Raw genomic sequence first — 22041 nt, 5'->3', positions numbered from 1 at the left:
TTTTAAAAATGAATAATGACATAAATGTTTGAGAGTTATTCCAGTGATTCCAGTTACCTTTACACGTACCTATTATAAGGGAAAAAATCCAGTATTATGTTTATTGTAATCTAGAATCCATTTTCTAAACACAAGTTAGCTTTTATGATATGGGAAATCCATACACAACTTTTGTTTTGTTTTGTTTTGATTTGGAGATGGAGTCTCGCTCTGTCACCCAGGCTGGAGTGCAGTGGCATGATCTCGGCTCACTACAAGCTCAGCCACCTGGGTTCAAGCAATTCTCCTGCCTCAGCCTCCCGAGTAGCTGGAACTACAGGCACCCACCACCACGCCTGGCTATTTTTTTTTTTTTTTTTTTTTTTTTTTGGATTTTTAGTAGAGACAGGGTTTCACAGTGTTAGCAAGGAGGGTCTCGATCTCCTGACCTCATGATCTGCCCGCCTTGGCCTCCCAAAGCACTGGGATTACAGGCGTGAGCCACTGTGCCAGGCCAATTCATACACAACTTTAAAAACTGATTGTGATTTGAATTTGAAACAGGATCTAAAATGGTAAAATTGTCACTCATTCAATCTCTGATTTTTTTTCATGTAGGCACCCACAGAGACATACATAAAAAACTAATATCTAAAATATATCATTTACATAAAAATAGCATATGAGGGCTGGCACAGTGGCTCACGCCTGTAACCCCAGTAGTTTGGGAGGCCGAGGTAGGTGGATTGCTTGAGATCAGGAGTTTCAGACCATCTTGGCCAACATGGTGAAACCCCATCTCTACTAAAATACAAAAATTAGTTGGCGGTGGCGGCAGGCACCTGTAATCCCAGCTACTAGGGAGGCTGAGGCAGGAGAATTGTTTGAACCCAGGAGGCAGAGTTTGCAGTGAACCGAGGTCATGCCACTGCACACTAGTCTGGGCGACAGAGCGAGACTCCATCTCAAAAAGAAAAGAAAAAATGGCATATGTATTTTGAAAGGAGAAGTGCCACTTTAAAAATTTTTACAACTTTCTGAATGAAGCCAGTCCTTCTTGAAATTGTCATAATCTTGATTGCCTCAACTGCTGCACAAACCTCACACCTGGGCTCCTACCCTCAACTACCCAATTCTTGTTCTTTTACATGCATACTTAAGTAAATGTTTAAAAATATCAAGTAAGTCCTCAAACTTTCTTATTCTTGATGAATTACTTCATCAAGGCAAAATTATCTGCCCCAAATTTAAGACTCTTCATAGAATGACCTCAAAATATCCAATCAACTGTATTTGCTACTGAGGTTCAAGACAAAACTATTGCGTGTTAGGAATGTTGTTCTTAGTCTCTTCTATCAAGATTTGGGCTTGGACAAAAAAGACTAGGCCATATTGGACAGGATTGGCTTTACATACCATAGCATATAGAAGGATGAGCCCAAATGTAGACCAAATAGAAGATCAAATAGTGGAATTCTGTGTGGAGGTGTGACCAAAGGGATAGGAGAGAGGGTGATGGGCAGAAATCGAGTACTTTAGTAATTTGTTAAACATTTAGGTTTCTGTATGTTTTGATGTCTGAAGGCCAGAGATTTTGAGTTAGACTGTTTTGCAGAAGACATTAGTCCTCATTCTTGAAGTAATTTAGATGACTGGGGACAAAACAAGAGCAGTCCACCTGTTTTCCCATCTGTAAACCATGACCAACAAGGTCAATGTGTATTATTATATGGATGAGGTTGGAATTTCAAGTTAGAATACTTTTATGAAAATGAGCTTAAATTTTTTAGGCTAACACCATGACTGACCTGCTACAAATCAGAAAACAATTAAAAGCAAGGTCTTTATTTTTCTCCCCACCATGACCATTCCTCCAATCTCCACACCCAAATTAGAATCACCCTCTCTTTATTGAGTAGAGTTTAGCTTAATATAAAGTGTAAAGGGCAATGTTTTAAAATATGGAAAACTCCAAGAACGAAAGAAAGGAAAATTATTCCATCCTATATGTAGGATCTGGTAGGCAATAACGATGGTTCCCAGAGATGTCCATGTTCTAATCTCAGAAGCTGTAAATATGTTGCCTTACATGGCAAAAGGAGTTTTGCTGGTTTGATTAAGGTAAAGTCCTTGGAAATGAAGAGATTATGCTGCATTATCCAGGTAAAGCCTGTCTAATTGCATGAGTTCCTTAAGCAGAGAACCTTTCCCAGCAGTGGTCAAAGGGAGATGACTGCATGAGAAACATTGAACTCCCTGTTGCTGACTCTGAAAGTTAAGGGTTTTTGTGCATGGACCAGAGAGAGGCCTTTGGAAACTGGAAATAGAAGTGAAACGGATTCTCCACTAGGGTTTCCAGTGAGGAACTCAGCCCTGCTGACTCCTTGATTTTAGTTAAAGTTGCAGACTTCTGACCTATAGAACTGTAATATAATAAATTTATGTTGCTTTCAGCCACTAACTTTTTAACTTTCTGTTAATTTTTCTTCACATCAATAGAAACCTAATACCTATGCTAACTCCATTCACTTTTCTTGAATTTATTCATAATCTCCATCAGTGTCCTCACCCTTCCACTGCCTACCCAAGATGTGCTCATAAATTCCATTTCAGAAAACCATCACCTCCTCTGAATAGTACTCAGAGTTTTCCTGTAACCCATATCACACAAAAGAACTTCTGTGATAGTTCTACTGAATTGCTGTGCATGAAGATTTTGTTCATTTTAATTATGCTATCAAACTAGATTGTGAACATATCATAGGAATTATTCATGTTTATCCTTCTTTTGAGTTTTCCAGTACACCTGGGACAATGTACATTTTTATTGATCTAAAAGCATTTAAAGCAACAGCATTAATCATTCAAATCTCTTTTCTTGAATCCAGGAAAATAGCTCTTTATTTTCATTTACTGGGCCATCTTTATGATACTTTGTTATGATGTAAATAATTAAAATATATTGCAGAAAATAAGTCTCATTTATTTGGGAACATATGCTGAACTCTTTTTGAATGCACACAAAACCTGCCACGGAATTTCTCATATTGCCATGTAGTTCATAGAAATAAGATTTCCAAAGTCCAATATGCTAAACTCAATCTCACTCCAAAACATAACTTTCATTTACGTTTTTAATATTTGAATTAAAATAGCCCCAAATTAGATGCCAAACAAATCTAACTATATTTTTAGCCATTGTATGTGAGTCATACTGCCAGTGTTTTTGCCTTGCTTGTAACAAATTGTCCCTAATTGAAAAATACTGTAAGCAGTAACATATGAAGGAAAAAGCCACCAATACTTTGAAATTTATTGTTTACAAAAATGACATGGGTTTACCATATTAATTTCGATGAACAAAGAGCTTTAGTTTTGTTGTTTTTCTTTTTTTTCTTTTTTTTTCCCCAGCTTCAGTCTTGTCATTTCATTCTAGTTATGAAATAAGGGGGTGATTTAGGGGATATTTTTCAAAACCTGATCACTTCCTCAAATTGAAGCTTTGTTCTTATAAATAGATACAATTATGTTCATATGTTTTATAGATGAATTCAGTAATGTGCCTGTTAAACAGAGTCTCTCATGGGTAGTTTCCTCAATTCTTTGGAATTTTACTCTTGAATTTGGTCAATGGGGACAATTCAGTCTGAGAAACGTTTATCCTTGATGTCAATACTTTTTCCTTATAAACGTATACTTCATCTTGTATATATGTGCTCACTTGTGTTAGATAAGCTTTGGAGATATTAACCATAGAGCTATAAATTAACTCCATGAATTACAAACTAACTTATAAAATTGTGAAAAAACTTAAGGCTTCCTCCGTTTCATTAAAACTTAGAATAAATAATTAAAAATATTGTCACGGCTGGGCACGGTGGCTCACACCTGTAATCCCAGCACTTTGGGAGGCCGAGGCAGGCGGATCATGAGGTCAGGAGATCGAGACTATCCTGGCTAACACGGTGAAACCCTGTCTCTACTAAAAATACAAAAAATTAGCCAGGTGTGGTGGCGGGCGCCTGTAGTCCCAGCTACTCAGGAGGCTGAGGCAGGAGAACGGCATGAACCTGGGAGGCGGAGCTTGCAAGTGAGCCGAGATTGTGCCACTGCACTCCAGCCTGGGCGACAGAGCAAGATTCCATCTCAAAAAAAACAAAACAAAACAACAACAACAACAACAACAAAAATATATATGGAGAGAGAGAGAGAGAGAGTCATGGATCTTAATTTTCCTATTGATCAGAAAAAAACAAATAATAAATGTAGATCCACATAAAATCTTCCAATTTACATTTTGAGTTTTTAAATGAGTATAGTCTAAGTTATATAAAAAGTATTCTCATGTCTAAATTCACTGTATATATATATATTCTTTTTTTAACATTATACTTTAAGTTCTGGGATACATGTGCAGAACGTGCAGGTTTGTTACATGGGTATACATGTGCCATGGTGGTTTGCTGCACCCATCAGCCCATCATCTACATTAGGTATTTCTCCTAATGCTATCCGTCCCCTTGCCCCCAACACCCCGAAAGGCCCCAGTGTGTGATGTTCCCTCCCTGTGTCCAAGTGTTCTCCTTGTTCAGCTCCCACTTATGAGTGAGAACATGTGGTGTTTGGTTTTCTGTTCCTGTGTTAGTTTGCAGAGAATGATGGTTTCCAGCTTCGCCCATGTCCCTGCAAAGGACATTAACTCATTCTTTTTTATGACTGCATAGTATTCCATGGTGTATATGTGCCACATTTTCTTTATCCAGTCTATCATTGATGGGCATTTGGGTTGGTTCCAAGTCTTTGCTATTGTAAATAGTGCCACTGTATATATATTCTTTAGTTTATTTATAAACTGAAGAAATTTTAGATTTCTTTTGAATATTAATATAATTATATTGATCATAGAATGACATTATGGATAACTTCATTTACCCAGAAATATTGGAAAATTAGATTTTATCCATTGTTGCCTTAGATAATCTGTTCTCACCACTGTGTGAGATTGAAATTACCATTACTGGAAAGTTTTTAAAGAGAGGAACCCTCTTCTGGCCAAGGAGAAAGGCTTTGAGATAGGTGATCAGATGAACCCGAGGGGACAAGTATAAATTGTATCCCTTAAGATAGCACCACATGTTACTGGAGACATGGCTATATTCAGGTAAATAGATTTTGATCAGCAGTAACTGAATGATTCACCACCAATAACATGGAGGTCCTCCAGAATAAATTAGACCATCTGTTGAGTCACAGCTGAAGTTCAATTGGTTTTCCACTTTGAACCAATGATGGACACCTCTCCCTGGGACACCTCCATATAAAAAATTATTTCTCTGATGATGGGTAGCAGAGATCAGTGAATAAAAATCTAAGCTTATTATCTATCAAACTGTAAAGATTCAAATTCCAGCAATGCCACTTAATATTGTACAACCTCAGGCAAGTTACTTAGCTTCAAACAGGGTCCCTTATTCCTTATTTACAAAATAAGAATATCACAAAAGACATTGACATAACCAAAGCAATTCTGAGCAAAAAGAACAAAGCTGGAGGCACCACACTACCTGACTTCAAAATTTACTACAAAGCTATAGTAACCCAAACAGCATAGTGCTGGCATAAAAACAGACACATAGACCAATGGAACAGAATAGAGAACCCAGAAATAAAACCATATATTTACAGCCAACTGATTATCAACATTAGCAAGCTTGTAAGTAATTGATTTCTGTGCTTATTTGAGAAATTATTCTATCCAATGTGTGTTGAAGAGCTATTATCAACAAAGGCACTAAGAGCATTAATTGGGGAAAGGACAGTGTCCTTAATAAGTCGTACTAGGAAAAATAGATATCCACAAGCAGAAAGATGAAACTAGACCCCTATCTCTGACCTTATGCCAAGATCAGCTTTAAATGAATTAAAGACTTAAATATAAGATCTGAAACTATGAAACTATTAGAAGAAAACATAGGGGAAATGTTTCAGATTATTGATCTGCACAGAGATTTTATGGAGAAAATCTCAAAAATACAAGCAACCAAAGCAGAAATACTCATGTAAGATTATATCAAACTGAAAAGCTTCTGCACAGCAAAGGAAACAATAAAGTTAAGCAACAGCGTAAAGAATAAATGAAAGTATTTCCAAACTATTCATCTGATAATGGATTATCACCCATAATATACAAAAATCTCAAACAACTCAAGAGCAACATACATACATACATACATACATACATAAAAATAAATCTGATTAAAAATATGCAAATAATCTGAATTGACATTTCTCAAAAGAAGACACACAAACATCATAAAAATATATGAACAAATGCTTAACATTGCTAATCATCAGGGAAATGCAAATCAAAACCAGAATGAGAAGTCATCTTAAACCTGTTAAAATGTATATTATTAAAAAGAGAAAGAGTAACAAATACTGGTGAAGATGTGAACACTTCTTTTTTTTTTTTTTTTTTTTTTTTTTTTTGAGACGGAGTCTCGCTCTGTCGCCCAGGCTGGAGTGCAGTGGCGCGATCTCGGCTCACTGCAAGCTCCGCCTCCCGGGTTCACGCCATTCTCCTGCCTCAGCCTCCCAAGTAGCTGGGACTACAGGCGCCCGCCACCACGCCCGGCTAATTTTTTTGTGTTTTTTAGTAGAGACGGGGTTTCACTGTGTTAGCCAGGATGGTCTCGATCTCCTGACCTCGTGATCCGCCCGCCTTGGCCTCCCAAAGTGCTGGGATTACAGGCGTGAGCCACCGCGCCCGGCCAACACTTCTTATACACTGTTGATAGAATGTAAATTAGCACAACCATAAAAAACAGTGTGAAAGTTCCTCAACAAAACTAAAATAGAATTACCTTATGATCCAGCAATCCCACTGCTGGGTATATATCCAAAGGAAATCAGTATGTCAAAAAGATGTCTGCATCCCTGTTTATTACTGCACTATTCACAATAGCCTAGATATGGAATCAGCCCAAGCGTTCATCAGTGGATGAGTGAATAAAAAACTGGTCTATTAATATATATCCAGTGGAATGTTATTCAGCCATAAAAAGAATGAAATACTATCATTCATGTAAGGACATGGATGGAACTGGAGGTCCTTATGTTAAGTGAAATAAGTCAGGCACAGAAAGGTAAATACTACATGTTTTATCTCACCTATGGTAGCTAAAAAGTTGATCTCATAAAAGCAGAGGGTAGAATAGTGGTTCCTAGAGGCTGGGAAGTGTAGAGCAGATTAAGGATAGGAAGAGACAGGTTAGCAGGTACAAAACTGGAACTAAATATGAGAAATAATTTCTAGTGTTCAGTAGTTAACAACACTATAGTGACTACAGTTAACTTTTTTTGGTATATTTTCAAATAGCTAGAAGATAGAATTTTGAATATTCCCAACACTAAGATGATAAATGTTTGAGGTGATGAATATACTAATTAACCTGATTTGATTATTACACATGGTATCTTTGCATTAAAATATCATACAGTACCCCAAAAATAAGTACAATTATGATGTGTCAAATAAAAATAAGAATAAATTTTAATAAAAGAAAGAATACCTACCACATTGGATTGGCATATAGATCAAATGAAATAATTCCCCAAAGCACTCTGTTCAACCCTGATACTGAAGAAGATTTTAGTGACTGGCAGCAGTCATCACATAGGGTTATTAGAAAGACAAATAAGGTGGCATACGTGAACAATGAATGGAGCTTGGTACTTTGCGCACTCAATGCCCTCAATAATATTACTTTTTCTGGCCAGGCACAGTGGCTCATGCCTGTAATCCCAGCACTTTTGGAGGCCAAGGTGGGTGGATCACATGAGGTCAGAAGTTCGAGATCAGCCTAGCCAAAATGGTGAAACCTCATCTCTACTAAAAATACAAAAATCAGCTGGATGTGTTGGCGGGTGCCTGTAATCCCAGCTACTCAGGAGGCTGAGGCAGGAGAATAGCTTGAACCAAGGAGGCAGAGATTGTAGTGAGCTGAGATGGCACCACTATACTCTAGCCTGGGTGACAGAGTGAGACTCGGTCTCAAAAAAATAAAAAATAAAATAAAATATTACTTATTCCCTGAAACAGTCTCTTTGAAGTACCAATTTATGCTTCAAACATACACGTCTCCTCCCTAGGATTGCAGATAACGAGTCATAGTGCACAGGGTTCTGTCACATGCAGAGGCTATGGCAGAGTGGCTGATCCAGTTACATACATCTCACAAGCACAGTTAAGCCTCTGATTCCCTATATACTGTCAATCATATACTTTAAAAACAATTACTTCCACCAAATATACCTATCATCAACCTTACAAAGTTACCAATCCACTAGGCCAATTATATTATTAGAAGCTTGCTTTTCCATTTTTACATCTAAGTCCAACTCTTCTCTCTTAAAAGAATACTTTTAGAAATACCTTAAATGGTTTACTGTTATATTTTTGTGATCAGAACAATTTTAGATCATTATTTTAGCTTAACTATAGATGCAGATCACTATAAAGATGATAATATAAGCACAACACCTATAAACCAGAGACAGTTTTAAACTAGATGGTCATTGTCCTTTTAAACATTTCATTGTACTTGCGTATGCACATACACACACACACATCAATTCATAAAATGTAAGTGTATGAAAGATATGTGTTTAATATATGTATCTTAATGGGTACAGTGTTCATATTCAATAATTGACTTAAATATATTTTTCGATGGACATACAAGTTTTCTACTTCCACTATTATCAGCAGTGCATCAGTGAACATCTTTGGGTATAAATATCTTTGCACACATATTTATTGCTATTATTTTAAAGAATTCTTTGAATGGAATTGTTGGGTAAAGGATACACACATTCACATTTTTGATACATACTGTCTTTCACAAATCAATTACCAACTTTTGTTCTCATTGACATGCAGTGTCTTAAAGTTTGCATGAGTTTCATTCTCTATTTACATTGTTTTCTCCTCTGGGCTTCTGCCCATGAGATGCTGCCTGAAATCCATTCCTCTCCCGTGATCTCATGACCAGGCCTTGTTGACCATGCTTTTTCAATGACTCTTTTAGCTGGGCCCTTTCTTCAAACTTGAGGACTTCCTTGCTAATCTTCTTGTCACCTAAAGCCAAACTCATCTCATGCCATATTTTCAACAACTACTTGTTAAAAAATATAATACAAAATAGTAAATACTAATGTTAATGAATGTAACTTAAACTTTCTTGGAAAATGTTAGTACTCACTTTTATTTTCCAGACACTAGACAAAGTACTATGTATGCATTATATGAAAATTGAATGTTATTATTATTAACTTCCTCTGCAATAAAAATCTGAAGCTCAGAAAATCTTAGTTATTTTCCAAGGATAAATATATGTAGCACATTTGGGCTTATATCCTTGGTTGTATTATTGCAATTCTATTCTTAACCACCATGATGTACTGTCTGCATTTGGAAATTCAGGAACAAATTTAGAGCTTTGCCAACGTTTCAAAGGCATGATTTTATAAATTACTTTTATTCATAAATTACTGTGTGATCAAAAATATAAATTTACTTTGGGGTAAGTCAGGCTGATCTCATATTATTTCAGAAAATATCTGTTATTTTAGTCCATAATAAAAAGTTACTGACCCTATTTGCTTTTTGTTAATAATGACTGCGGACATTTCCTAAGAGATGCCTAGTTGAAAATATGTCCATGTAACGCTGATGAAGTAGGAATTTGGGCAAGGTTGTAGATGACTGATTTCTGTGCTTATTTCAAAAATGATTCTATTCAACATGTATTGAAGAGCTATTATGGAATACCAAACTACAGGAAAGTTGGTGGCCTTAAAGAAACCATCAGCTTGGTCCACTGGAGTTATCCGATGTGTGAGCTCACTCTAGTTTCTACAGGTTGACTGGGGACACTTATTTAGTCTGGGCTTGGCTGGGGCAACTTAGCAAGGGCTTCTCCATTCCATGTATTTTTCATCATTCTTTTGAAACCAGTGGGTTAGCCCAGGTATGTACATTTTATGGTGACGGCAAAAGGACAAGAGAGCGAATGGAAACATACAACATATCTTGAGGACTCAGCTTTTGGAGCTGGCATGTTGTCACTTTTACATCATCCTATTTGCAAAAGCAAGTCTCATGATGAAATTCATAGCCAGAGTGGGGAAATATGCTGTTCCCCTTTGAGGGAAGAGTGGCAAACTCATATGGCAAAAAGCATGGAGATAAGACGGAAGTGAGAAGTAGTGCCAGTAATACAAGCTAGCACCAAAGCAACTGAGTTTTTACTTGAAAAGATATTCTGGTTCTAAACTTAAAAACTAACCTATATTTTTAATTATTTGGTCACGGGGTACTATGAAGTTTTTTGATTTCCTGAGACAGAGAGGGCATGCTGCAGATGTTTTAATTTCAGGTCAGGTGATTTCTACCTATGAAATGATTTTGCCTATGTCCTTTAAGAACCACTTGTGTGTTTCTCTGAATGCAGTTTTCAGCACTAAAACTCTCAATGAGTGACTCATTAAACTAGTCACCATTGTATCCACCCACTCAACCTCTTGCCATGGCCTCCAAATCTGAGGTTGCTCTGTCACATAAGCATGATAACTGTAGAATCCAGAATTCCTATTCAACTTGTGCCAAAACACTAAGCCTTTAAGTTTAAGAGCATTTGAGGATAATTGTAAGAAAAATAGCTTGGTTGCTCTGTAACCAGATGCTAAGTTGACTAATACTCACTCACAGTGAGTTAACCGGAAATTAAAGGAGGGAGTCACAGCCCCAGAGTGTGAAAGAAGATAGCCGGAAATGTCCAAAGCAGTTAAGAGGGCGAACAGATTTTGTCTAAAAAGATAAGGCAGCTAAACAGAGGGTGAGAAGACATGAGCCAAATTTACACACACAAATAGTGGAAATAATCTCTGAGAATCCAATTTGGGAAGAAGTGAGGGAGATAATAGTGCTCTGAGTGCCTAGTGATGAGAGAACAAAGAGGTTAACGATGCCTGAGAGACAGGATCAGTAATGTTTCCAAGGTGTCATGGAAGAGTCTGCTGGCAATAGGACAGAAGTGTGCTTTTTTGTTTATTAAACCAGTTTACTAAGAAGGTTCAAGTTTGCGTCAAAGTTCAAACTTTATAAATTATTTGTTTGCTTTGCTTTCCAGAATATTTAAAAAAACCATCCATGGGACAGTCTAACATAACAAAGGGAATTATTCATCAAGAAGAGGCCCTTTAGCAGGTAAGTGTGAGGAAACCCTTCATCTTTAAAAGGCATATGACTCTTTGCTTGGTGTTTGACTTTAAGTGGAACCGAAAAAGTTTTAAGGAGATTAACATCTTTATATTCTTAAAGCCAATGTCTTCAAAATAACAACCTAAAAGCAAAGTGAAAAATCCAATCAGGTGTTTATTGATTTTTTCAAATTCAAATATATATTATAATATTGTTTCTCAACTTCTATGAGATATAGGGCTTGTCTTGATATAAGTAATGAGATGGATATAATTATGTTCCATGATTTAATATTTTATTTTCTTATATCTTAATTATGAGTTGATGCTATAGTCTGAACAATTAAGACCTAAATGCTTTTCCAAATTTACATAAAAATTCAAAATTTTGTGTTAGAAAATTACTTTCTAAAAAACTCAAGTATTCTGCATCTGGGTGGAAACTAAAGATAATTGCCAATTCTAAATGTTATTATGATTACTGTTCCAATTTTATTGTCTTAAATTCCTCAACTGTCTACTTCCCCCATACTATATGACATAAATTAAAGTCTCTGAGCCATGTTATATGTTGTTCACTAGTAAACATCAACGTGCTGGTACAGAAAGGCATATCTGATTCTGTAAAAAGTTTCTGAAGGAACAAGATAATAAAAAAACAATGTAAATCTATTTGCACAAACCTAATATTACTGGAAGGAGTTTCTGTCAATAACTACTGATGTGACCCAGTGCTTCTAACCTATATGAATGTACATCCATGTATATATGTTAGATAGGGTAGATATACATATTACCTATCTATATACCTACCTATTTACCTCCTCCCTCTCCCTCCATCATCCATTCTCATGTTCTATATGGTTATATGTTCTATATGGTATACTAGATACTCAACTAATCTATTTCAAATAAATGAATTAGTAGTTTCATCCATAGCTGTTGTTAGCATGGAAAAACTTAGGGGAACTGAGAATCTTTTTTTCTGCCTTAGAACATGCTATATTAACTTGTGGTTTATGTAATTACCATTGTATGTCTCCTTATTTTTGTCCCTAAAGAAACTTTACATCTTACAACTTCATCCCTATGAATTTTATTTCCTTCCCTATAAAATGAGAATAAAAATATACATTATAAAGGTATATTTGAGGTCTAAACAAAATAATGTGTATTAAATGTAATGCCTTGAAAAGGTAAATATTTATAAATTGGCATGGCTTTGAGACAATAAGAAAAACTAGAATTGGCACATGGTTAAAGTGGGAATTCAACAGAGCAACCAAGATGTTTCTAACCTTTTCTTTTTAATTGTATTTGAGGCCTATCAAATCTAACTTTTACACGAAATTATAAATTATTCATGATTTCCATAGATATTTTATATTTTATCTTAAGAGGTGTCTGCTAAACTATATAAATCTGGAAGGAAACTTATGCTAAAATATAAGGTATTGGCCTATGTGTACACACATTGCTCATTCTCTAATGAGGCTCTGGAGCTATGAAACATGCGTGGTGCAGTGTGGAAACAAAGTTTATGGATTGTGACTCACATATATTATCACATTAAATCCCTATAAATTCTTAAACACAACTTCTTTTATCAGTTTATGCCTATACTCAAAACCAGCAATTGCTTCCTTTGCCTGCAGAATAAGTTACTAGTTCCTAAGATTGCTATTCCAAGTTCTCAAGAATCTGGTCCCATTCTACCTCTTTAAGGTTTTCTCCTACTTATGCCCATTAAAATGTTGCGCTTCAATCAGGTTAACCTATTCATTCAATCCACAATTCCAAAAGCAGTCTACATCCTTACCTTTGTTTTTGCAGCTTCCTTTCCTATTTGGTATGACTTTCCATCTTGACAAAAGCTTATATGTCCTTTAAATAACAGGTCCAGCCTCTACCTAGCTGCATTTCTGAATCATCTCAGTTGATAATTATCTCACCATGATCTGAAAGAAAATTAGTAATATTTATATTACTAATTTTCATTCATATAAAAATATTAATTTACTAATTACTAATACAATGTGATGTTATTTTTATTATATATATAAATATATATTTAATACCTGTCACCTCTTTCTAAAATGGCATACCTGTGAGTCTTTGTTTTGTTCACCATTTTATAAACAGTACCTAGATTTTCACCTGAAATATACTAGATGCTCAACTAATCTATTTTGAATAAATGAATTAACATTTACAAACAACTAGGTTAGGAATGTGTTGTCTTTCCTGGTCTGCAGAATTTGGGGGTTGAATATATTTCTTAAAAAGACTGTTCAATATAATCATCTGAAGACTAGATTCTTCTTTCGTACCAAGTCTGTCACTTCATGGCAACTCTCTTAAACAAGCTACATTTCAGTTTCTATTTATGAAATGGTGATAAACAGTATCGCCTTTGTTCTTGTCACTTGAAGTTACAAAACTGATGGAAAAAAAAGTACGTTGAATTCCAAAAGTCACTTTCAACAGCTCATTATTAACTTTGGAATGACTAAAAATGATTCTTCTGCTTGGTTCCAAAGAAAGATAATAATGCACTTTGGTGTATTAGGGATAAGTCCATACAGAACACAGGATATTAAAATACATATTTATAAGAAAGATTCCAGACATCCCAAATTCATAAAATGTCTGGCTCTAAGTTGGTTTGAAGTTTTGCCTGGACTCCAGATATAGATTTGTGTATTTTATCTGTCCATCTCTATATTTTTGATTTCCACTGGGATTCAGTTTTGGCAACATGAGTTTATTGTTTCCAGTGAAAACATCAATATACTAATTCCCAATGAGATGAATTAACATTGTGATCTAGTGAGATCTGCAGTTTTTGGGCTGGATATATATTTGATGGAAAATCTATACTGAAGATTCATGATTGATATAAAATCCAGTGACTTATGCATACACAAATGTATACAAGTTATATATAACTTTATCTTACACTTGTTATTATATAGCCTATATATGTGTTTTTGTGTATATATTTATGCTAGATATATATAGTGAATATGTGTGTCTATATATTGTATATGTGTATCTGTATACATACACACTTGCTATATAATAATCAAGGTGAGATAAATTGTATATATTACTTATATAGAATTAACATGCATTTTATATGTTAATTATAATAATAATTGTTAGAAACTATTAGTCATTTAGGTAAGATGCTTATTTTTGTTCATCTTTTGCTTTAAATTTATCTTACTTTGGTCATTATATGGCCAGTATGTTTATATGTATATACTATATTTGTACTGTATAAATACATTATACAGTACATTAAAACAATAACATAAAACTATAAAGCCAAACCAAAATTCTGACCTACTGATATAATTTTTAAGTGATGCATAAAATAACTACCTTGCTTTTAAAATTATCTTTATCCTTGTAAACCTCATTACAAAGATAAATAACATGTTTTTAATTACAACTCATCAAAGATGACAATGATTTATATCCATAAGTGGTTGTGACATGCGGGTCACTTTCTACTGGATTGCATACAAAATAAAGGATTAAATTTCATAAAAAAAACTGAGTTCTTTTCAGAAGCTCACTGTTTTGTTAAGCAAGATTTACTAACATTATGGTGAATGAATCTGCAGACCATTTTTAAAGTTGTAAAGAAAAATAGAATTTTTGAAGCTTATAACCTATTTTTAGAAATACCATGGGTTATCTATAAGTGAGCTTAAATATTTTATGTTATAAATTTAATTTCTATAGCACCTATAACATTACATTGTGCTCACTTATATACTCAAGTTACAACATCCTTGAAAGCATTACTTCTACTTTTGTGATGTTTCTATATTTAGTAATTAGCATAGAATATTTATAAAATTATTATGTATTTACTGAATGTGTCCATCAGAAGGTACAATATTTTATAAAGCTAAGATTTCTTCAAGATTCTTTTAGATAAACAGAATTGTAGATTTGACTAAGGGAAATTTTTTGACACTCCAAAGAATTCAATGCAGTTTCTTTAGCTTACTTTTTGAGATTTTTTTCATAGTTTCATTTCCATCTTTATCTTCAACCGGATCTGCCTCTACCTATATATATAGGTCTACTCATTATTCCAAATGCAAGTCTTGCTTTCTCACCTATCTGCCTTTTTCATTCCATTATTCCTGTCTGAAATGTTTTCTCTCTGCAAGTCCTATCAAAATCTTAGGCTCTTGTTAAGCCTCAACTCACATCCAGTCTTCTTTCTCTGAAGTAACTGGAAGAGCTGTGTGGAGCTATACTAGATCACCATCTTTTCTGATCATCTGTGGCAAATCTGTCATTTGAATATCAAGAGAAATATTTGGCAAAACTATTGTTTGGCGATTTTTTTCTTAAGAAGCGGTATTTTAATTATGCACATACATTAGCTCTTTAAATATATTTAGGATTCTTAAAGACATAAACAAATTATGTAGATTATTTTTGAGGATCCACTGGCCTACTTTAATAATACTTCCTTTTAAGGCAATGGCATATAACCTGAATTAAATCAAGTAGCATTTGTTTGCCTCTTTCTTTAAGATGAAAAATTAAGTAATTAAACTACATTGTGGACATACATTCATAATTGGTAATTCCACATCTCACCTATACGTTTATTTTTTATTAGAAAATGTCTTTCTTACTTCTACTCTAGCCCCAATTCCTAGAGGGGCCTTGCTGACCCTTACTTGAGGACATTAATTGAACTGTCTATGAATCAGATTCAGAGACATATGTCATATATAAATGGTCAAGCCCCTGAACATGTTGGTTAAATTCTCTGCACCTCAATTTATTCAAAAATTAAGGTTTTTTTTTTTTAAGATTAAAGGCATTTTAGTGTATGCAAATTCTTTAGAACATTGAATTGCTGGAACAAACTCTCAGATATCTGCCTATAGAATCAAGTGAGAGCACAAGAAAAAAAATCCTGCATAACCAAGTAGCTAGATTTGAATATCTTTTTTATATGGTTAGTGTTGGAATAGCAATTTACCACTAGTATGCCTATCACTTTAAAACACCTCAGAAAATGACATGTGGATTTTTGTTGCACAGAAAGGCCTTTTCTCAGTTGTTGTTTATGGATGAACCAAGTGAATCTCTTGGGGAGACTTAAGTAATTCTGCCTTGGAGTGCTCACCTATTAAGGCAGAAAGAGTATGTGTTCCATGTTCTTCCTTGATTGAGTGTAAAGTATGGTTGTAGTATGCTTTAGTGTAGCACGGAATCACAGAGGATGAAGTGAGAATTAGTTAGCAAGAATCCATTTTCCACTACAGTGGTTTGCTTAGAAACTTGATTATAGCAGATTGATAAAAAGGAGTAATTTACTGTTTTAGTAAATGAATACTGATCATGTCATCATCATTTATAATTTTAATATTATATTACTGTACCACTTATTACAATTGTAATTATTTGTTTGATGCTTAAGTTTCTCCATTATACTGTCACCTTTATAATGGGATGATATATTTCTGCTTTAGTTGAAAATGTATTTCGTGGGCCTACTTCAGGTCTGTGGAACCTACTACTAGGTTCACAGTAAATATATGATGTTGTAAGTTTTCATTTCTGAAGCAAGTGTACTATGTTGGCTAACATAAAATTAAATCAGAGGGGGTAAAGTGAAGTAAAAAAATTAATGGAGAAGGAGGTCTTTGACATATAGACAGGTCAAGAGTCTTTTATAAAAATAATAATGTGTCTGTCTGTGACAGGTTTAATGAAAGCTTTTCAGAGGTAGTACAAATGCCTTTGTTTTTCCTTATTGACAAATGTGATATTTAAATCATTTAGTTAAAAAGTAGTGTCTCCACTTTTTTTAGTTTATGTTTTCATAACCATGTTATAATTACTCAAATGTAAATTATGATATAATTTAAATGTTATAATTTAACTTAAGATAAAATATTTAAATATTAGTTAAACTCATGTTATTTATTGTAGATGAGTTATCTATTCACAATCTCTTAGAATAATTATCTTGTGATATTCATGCAGTTCTCAATATCAGATTGTGTCTAGATTTGGTTGTAAATAGAAATATGTTAAACATAAAAATTCACTTAAGACTAACATCAGAGTGATTTTGAAGTTGTTGCAGCAAAAAAAAGTAAGAATATAAAAGTGTTAATATGATGAATAATAAATAACTAGAAGTCAGCATATTAAAAATGTGGTTACCAGTTTAAACAAGCAGATCAGTGGAAAAAATAATAATAATACAGTATGAGATACAGTCATATTTACTTTGAGAAAGAAGTCTTCGCAAAAGTGAAGAACTCATTTAGAGAATTAATTTTGGAGACAAAGAGAGATGAGGGTTTGAATCCTGCATTCAATACCTATGAGCTCTGTGACACTGAACAAGTAATACACTTTCAGCCTCTATTTCAAGTATAGAGTGGGCATTATAAAATAAATGCAGAGAGAGAGCTCAAACAAAGCACTTATACCTAGACTATTCTGAACCATAAAGGCACCAAAAGAACATCTTTTATTGGTTCCAAACTTTTAATATATATGATAGTTCTTTCCAAACATGAGTACTTGAGTAAACTGGGTAAGATAATGTTCTCTCTGGCACGTAGACTTTTGTAACTATTTCTCCTTGTCACAACATCATTTATTTTCCTGTGGCATAAACCCCACCCAAACACCCCTCAATTCTCCCTACAGGATTGAATTGACTTTATCTCCTATATTACTATTCCTAATTATTATTATTTAATTGTCATATTTTTTTTTATTCCCTTTGTAGTGCCATAACCACAAGGTAATGGTAAGGCAGGGTCCTATTGCTGGACAGCTGGGAATAGAGTTAATGCACCATGCAGCTTTGATCAAGAATTGTACCTTTATTTGGTCAGATGCATTCTGTGTTTTTAACTGCTCTCATTCTTGAGGTTACAAGAATGCAAACAATTCTACAGTTCCACCTCTTTTTTTTTTTTTCTCTTGTTCTTTTTTCTCTCACTCCTCAGTCTCTCTACGGCCTCAGGGCCTGCCTGACCTGCACAGTTTATTCTGAATTTACTAACTTCTTTTAGTTCCAAATGTTACTTTTGGTTACTTTTCCCCTTTTCTTATAAAATAAATTTTGCCTCTAATCTATAATTAATTGAAATAAAGTGACAGCATGGTAATGCAAGTAGAAAATTGTTTTTTGCTATTTGGAAGTACAATAAATGCTTAGGTTCCCATGTCACATAACAAAATACATTCTGGGTAATAAATATTTAGTTTATTGTGCAATATAACAATATACTTTTTGTGGCTGAAATAATTAAATGTAAAAATTCAAATGATTTTTTAAATTCTAAAAAAATAAATAAATACAGCTGTAATCCAAAAGGGTGATGGATTTCTAAGCTTGAATGATGAAATTGAATTAAGAAGTAAATACTTAATAACACAATTAAAAGTTTTATTTGAAAAAATCGTTTTATATATTTGTGTCTCTGTATTTTGTTTCTTTAAGGCCAATGTACAAGGTGTTTTCAGGGAATGTTTTAAGGGAATATGACTAAGGATTATGTCAGTATATGAAACTTATTGATTTCAGAATCTAGTTACATTCTTAAAAAATCACTGAGGTTCCTAAAAGGTTTTGTTTATGTTTATCAGTATTTACTGTACTGGAAATTAAAACAGATATTTTATAATATATATTTATTATGTCATTTAACAACTATAATAAATCATATGTTAACCAATACATATGTTAATGAAGATATATTTTCAAAACAAAATGAATTAGTGAGCAAGTACCATTGTTTCATTATTTTTGAACATCTCCATAACATCTGGCTAAATAGATGGGTTCTCATACCTGCATCTGCTTTCAATCTGTGGTGATGGCACTCATCTGTAGCCTCTGGAAAACTGCACAGTACACTCACAAGAGAATGAAAGGGGAAGAAACAGCTTATATCCTAATATTATTTTAAAAGTAATGTTGACCTTGCAGAGCCCCTGAAAAGTTCTTAAGGAAGCTTAGAGTTCCCTAGATCACACTATGAGAAAGATTGGCCTAGACCAATCAGGACTATACAGGGAGCTGGAATTGATAACAATATCACAAAAAGAGCACAGCTGCTATAGAAGAGGAGCAGAATAGTTGTGAAAGTTACAATCACAATTTGTCTAAACCATAAAGTTTATTGTACTGAAGCCATTCACAATAGGCCAATTCCACATAATTAAGTGGAAACATGTTTGTGTTATAAAATTGAAGGCAAAAAATACAAAATTAAAAATCTTAGGTCAATTAAATCTGTATAGATATTTTATAGATAGATATAGATCTAAAGAAAGCTGTTAAAACTTTTGTTTTTAAAGAACTGGGGTGAAAAATTGAAAGAACATGCACCAAAAATAATCAGCACTTGCCTTTAAGGCAAAGGCACCTGGGTATATATTTTCGAATGTCCGAGAGTGAAAAAGCAGTGACAATCTAGTCTCTATCTCCTGAACTGTCATGAAACTTTAGATCACTGAACTGTTTTCTCTCAGGATTTCTATTTCTCTCACTTAATGAATCAGTTCTTTGTTGGTTTGGAATTAGGTCCAGAATAGCTGTTCTCCAAATAATTCATTTCCTTTATCTTTGATGCATAGAATTTTAAATAAGGTGTGTCAGGAATTTGTCAGATGATGTGATTTTGCTGAAAGAGAATTTCAGCAGATGTCCGTAAACTAACTCTTCCCTTGCTACTTTAGCTTCTGAGGCAGGATGGTGATCTGGATCAGGGCATATCATCTATTTCCTGCTCTAGCTAGTTGTACAGTAATATACTCCCATACTGCTGTTTACTTTGTAAATTCCCCATTTTTTCTTCATCCATTAGATCTGTAGCATATTTCCAAACTTGGATCAATGAATGAGCACTGCTTTTTGCAGACATAGAGCAGGGCTCTAGATAGAGTCTACTCAGTCCTACTGTGGAGTAGCCCATAGTCCTATATATTATGACAATTACTTTGTGTTTATTATTTGAATTACATTTTTATCTTTATTCTGCCTTCCCATACTCTTACATACATCCTTAACATTAGAAAATGGATGTTACCATAAAATTATCAGTAAAAATCCTGGAGTTCCATGTAATTATGTAAACACAAATAGTTAACAATAGTTATTCTACTATAAATATAGAAAGGGATTTCATATGTTCTGAACCATATCAAACTTAAAGTTGTAAAGTTTTACAAGAAGCCATAATTGAAGGATAAGATTACAAAGTACAATAATGATTTTACAGTGACATATTTGCCTTTGCTCACCGTCATTCATTGTTATTCAACTCTAGCAAAAAGTGTGCTGAATCTCTCTGATGTTTTTAGAACAAGTTTCCAAAAATGTCTTCCAATATTGACGATGAAACTATAAAAACCCTGAATAATGATAATAAAATTAACAATCGTTGAACATTTATTGTATGGTTGAAATTGAGAATTATTGCCTTTAGTTATCTCAACACCACTGTGATGTTGTTACTGTTATTTTTGCTATTTTATAAATATGGTAACTGAATCTGGGAGAAATTAAGAATTTATTCAAGGTTATTTATTTATTTATTTATTTAGCATGGGGTTCTCAGTACATTGCCCAGGTTGGTCTTAAACTCCTGTTCTCAAGTTTACAACAGTTGTGAGCCACCACGACTGGCCAAGGTCATCCAATTATTTAGTCATGAAGGAAGACTGTTTATCTTAGAGAGATTGTTTTCAGACCTCTCTTTCTTAACCACTAAATATACCATACAAAACTATATGAGCAACATTAATATCTATACTTAGAGTAATTTTAAAAACCAAAGAAAAACAACTGAAAGCTATAATCTGTTTTCAAGAATTCAAAAAACTATCATAGAAATAGAATAAGAGAGAGCCTAGAGCCGAGTTCACCCTGCAGTTCTCTCTTCTCGGATCCTTTACACAGGAAGTAATGAAAATGAAGGACACCGTCTCCTCTGCAGAGTCCTTCAGTTAACTTCCCTGGCCTACCCATAAAGATGCTTCTCTGACCCTTTTAATTATGTCATTAGTATTTATATGAATTAGCAATAGACTTTTTAAAATTCCCCTAGTTCAATGTACTTTTCCAGAAGGCTTAAGTTCCTTGTCTATGTCATAAGATTCATTGTAATTAGGGTATCATTAGTAATTAGGAGTCTTCCCTTGACTCTTATTTTATATTACTCGTTCTCCCTAATGGTGTCCATCTATCCATTTTCTTTCAATAGAATATTGCTTTATATTTAGAAAATCTAACTCCCATGTTCGATAAGGATAGATATATTTATTTGCATTATAAACATTGCTCCATAGCTGAGTAGTAGAATTTCCTCTACCTTGCAATAGCTTTCCGTTTTCCATTTTTATTTCAGTTTTCTTATTTTTCCTTTATTTATTTCTTTCCCTTGTTCAGGAATATTATAATAACTGGTTTCTATTTTGCATCATTTCTTCCATTCAATATAAGTCTTACAAATCTTAAAATTTATTGAAGTTTATTAGCTGTACTTCTTAGAAACATTCTCAGCACTTCATGAGAACATGTTCCTGGTTTGTCTCTCTCGTCTTTGGATCAGAATCTCCAGTGAAACTCAGCCATTGTTCCCTTCTGGAAGTTGTGAAAACTAGCTTATTTTTCCCAAAGTCAATGAAGTCTGTTAAAATCTTATCTCTCACAATAAAATTTATAGTAAGCATTTGAAGCTGTAAAACATTTTCAAGTATTCAACAGAAAAAAATGGAAAATTGAAT

At 33.9% G+C, this 22041-nt stretch overlaps 1 protein-coding gene across 2 annotated transcripts in view, besides 1 other annotated feature; it reads left to right on the top strand.

The window, feature by feature from the left end:
• SEMA3A (semaphorin 3A) overlaps positions 1-22041 on the top strand; it is a 536949-nt gene that overhangs the window by 109654 nt on the left and 405254 nt on the right. For both annotated transcript variants that reach the window (XM_005250110.4, XM_047419751.1), the window contains exon 2: positions 11172-11248. The gene's annotated coding sequence lies outside the window, so the exon portion shown is untranslated. The remainder of the gene's footprint in view (positions 1-11171; positions 11249-22041) is intronic.
• Positions 10181-11380: an enhancer, noted in NCBI's record as "MED14-independent group 3 enhancer chr7:84001008-84002207 (GRCh37/hg19 assembly coordinates)". NCBI's record gives its function as "activates an origin of replication core promoter dependent on BRD2, BRD4, P300/CBP and CDK7 cofactors, and independent of MED14, by STARR-seq in HCT116 cells {active_cell/tissue: HCT116}" and the evidence as "EXISTENCE:reporter gene assay evidence [ECO:0000049][PMID:35650434]".

Source organism: Homo sapiens, chromosome 7 (genome assembly GCF_000001405.40).
Source record: "Homo sapiens chromosome 7, GRCh38.p14 Primary Assembly".
NCBI classification, from domain to species: domain Eukaryota; kingdom Metazoa; phylum Chordata; class Mammalia; order Primates; family Hominidae; genus Homo; species Homo sapiens.
This window is presented reverse-complemented; position numbering and strand designations above follow the sequence as displayed.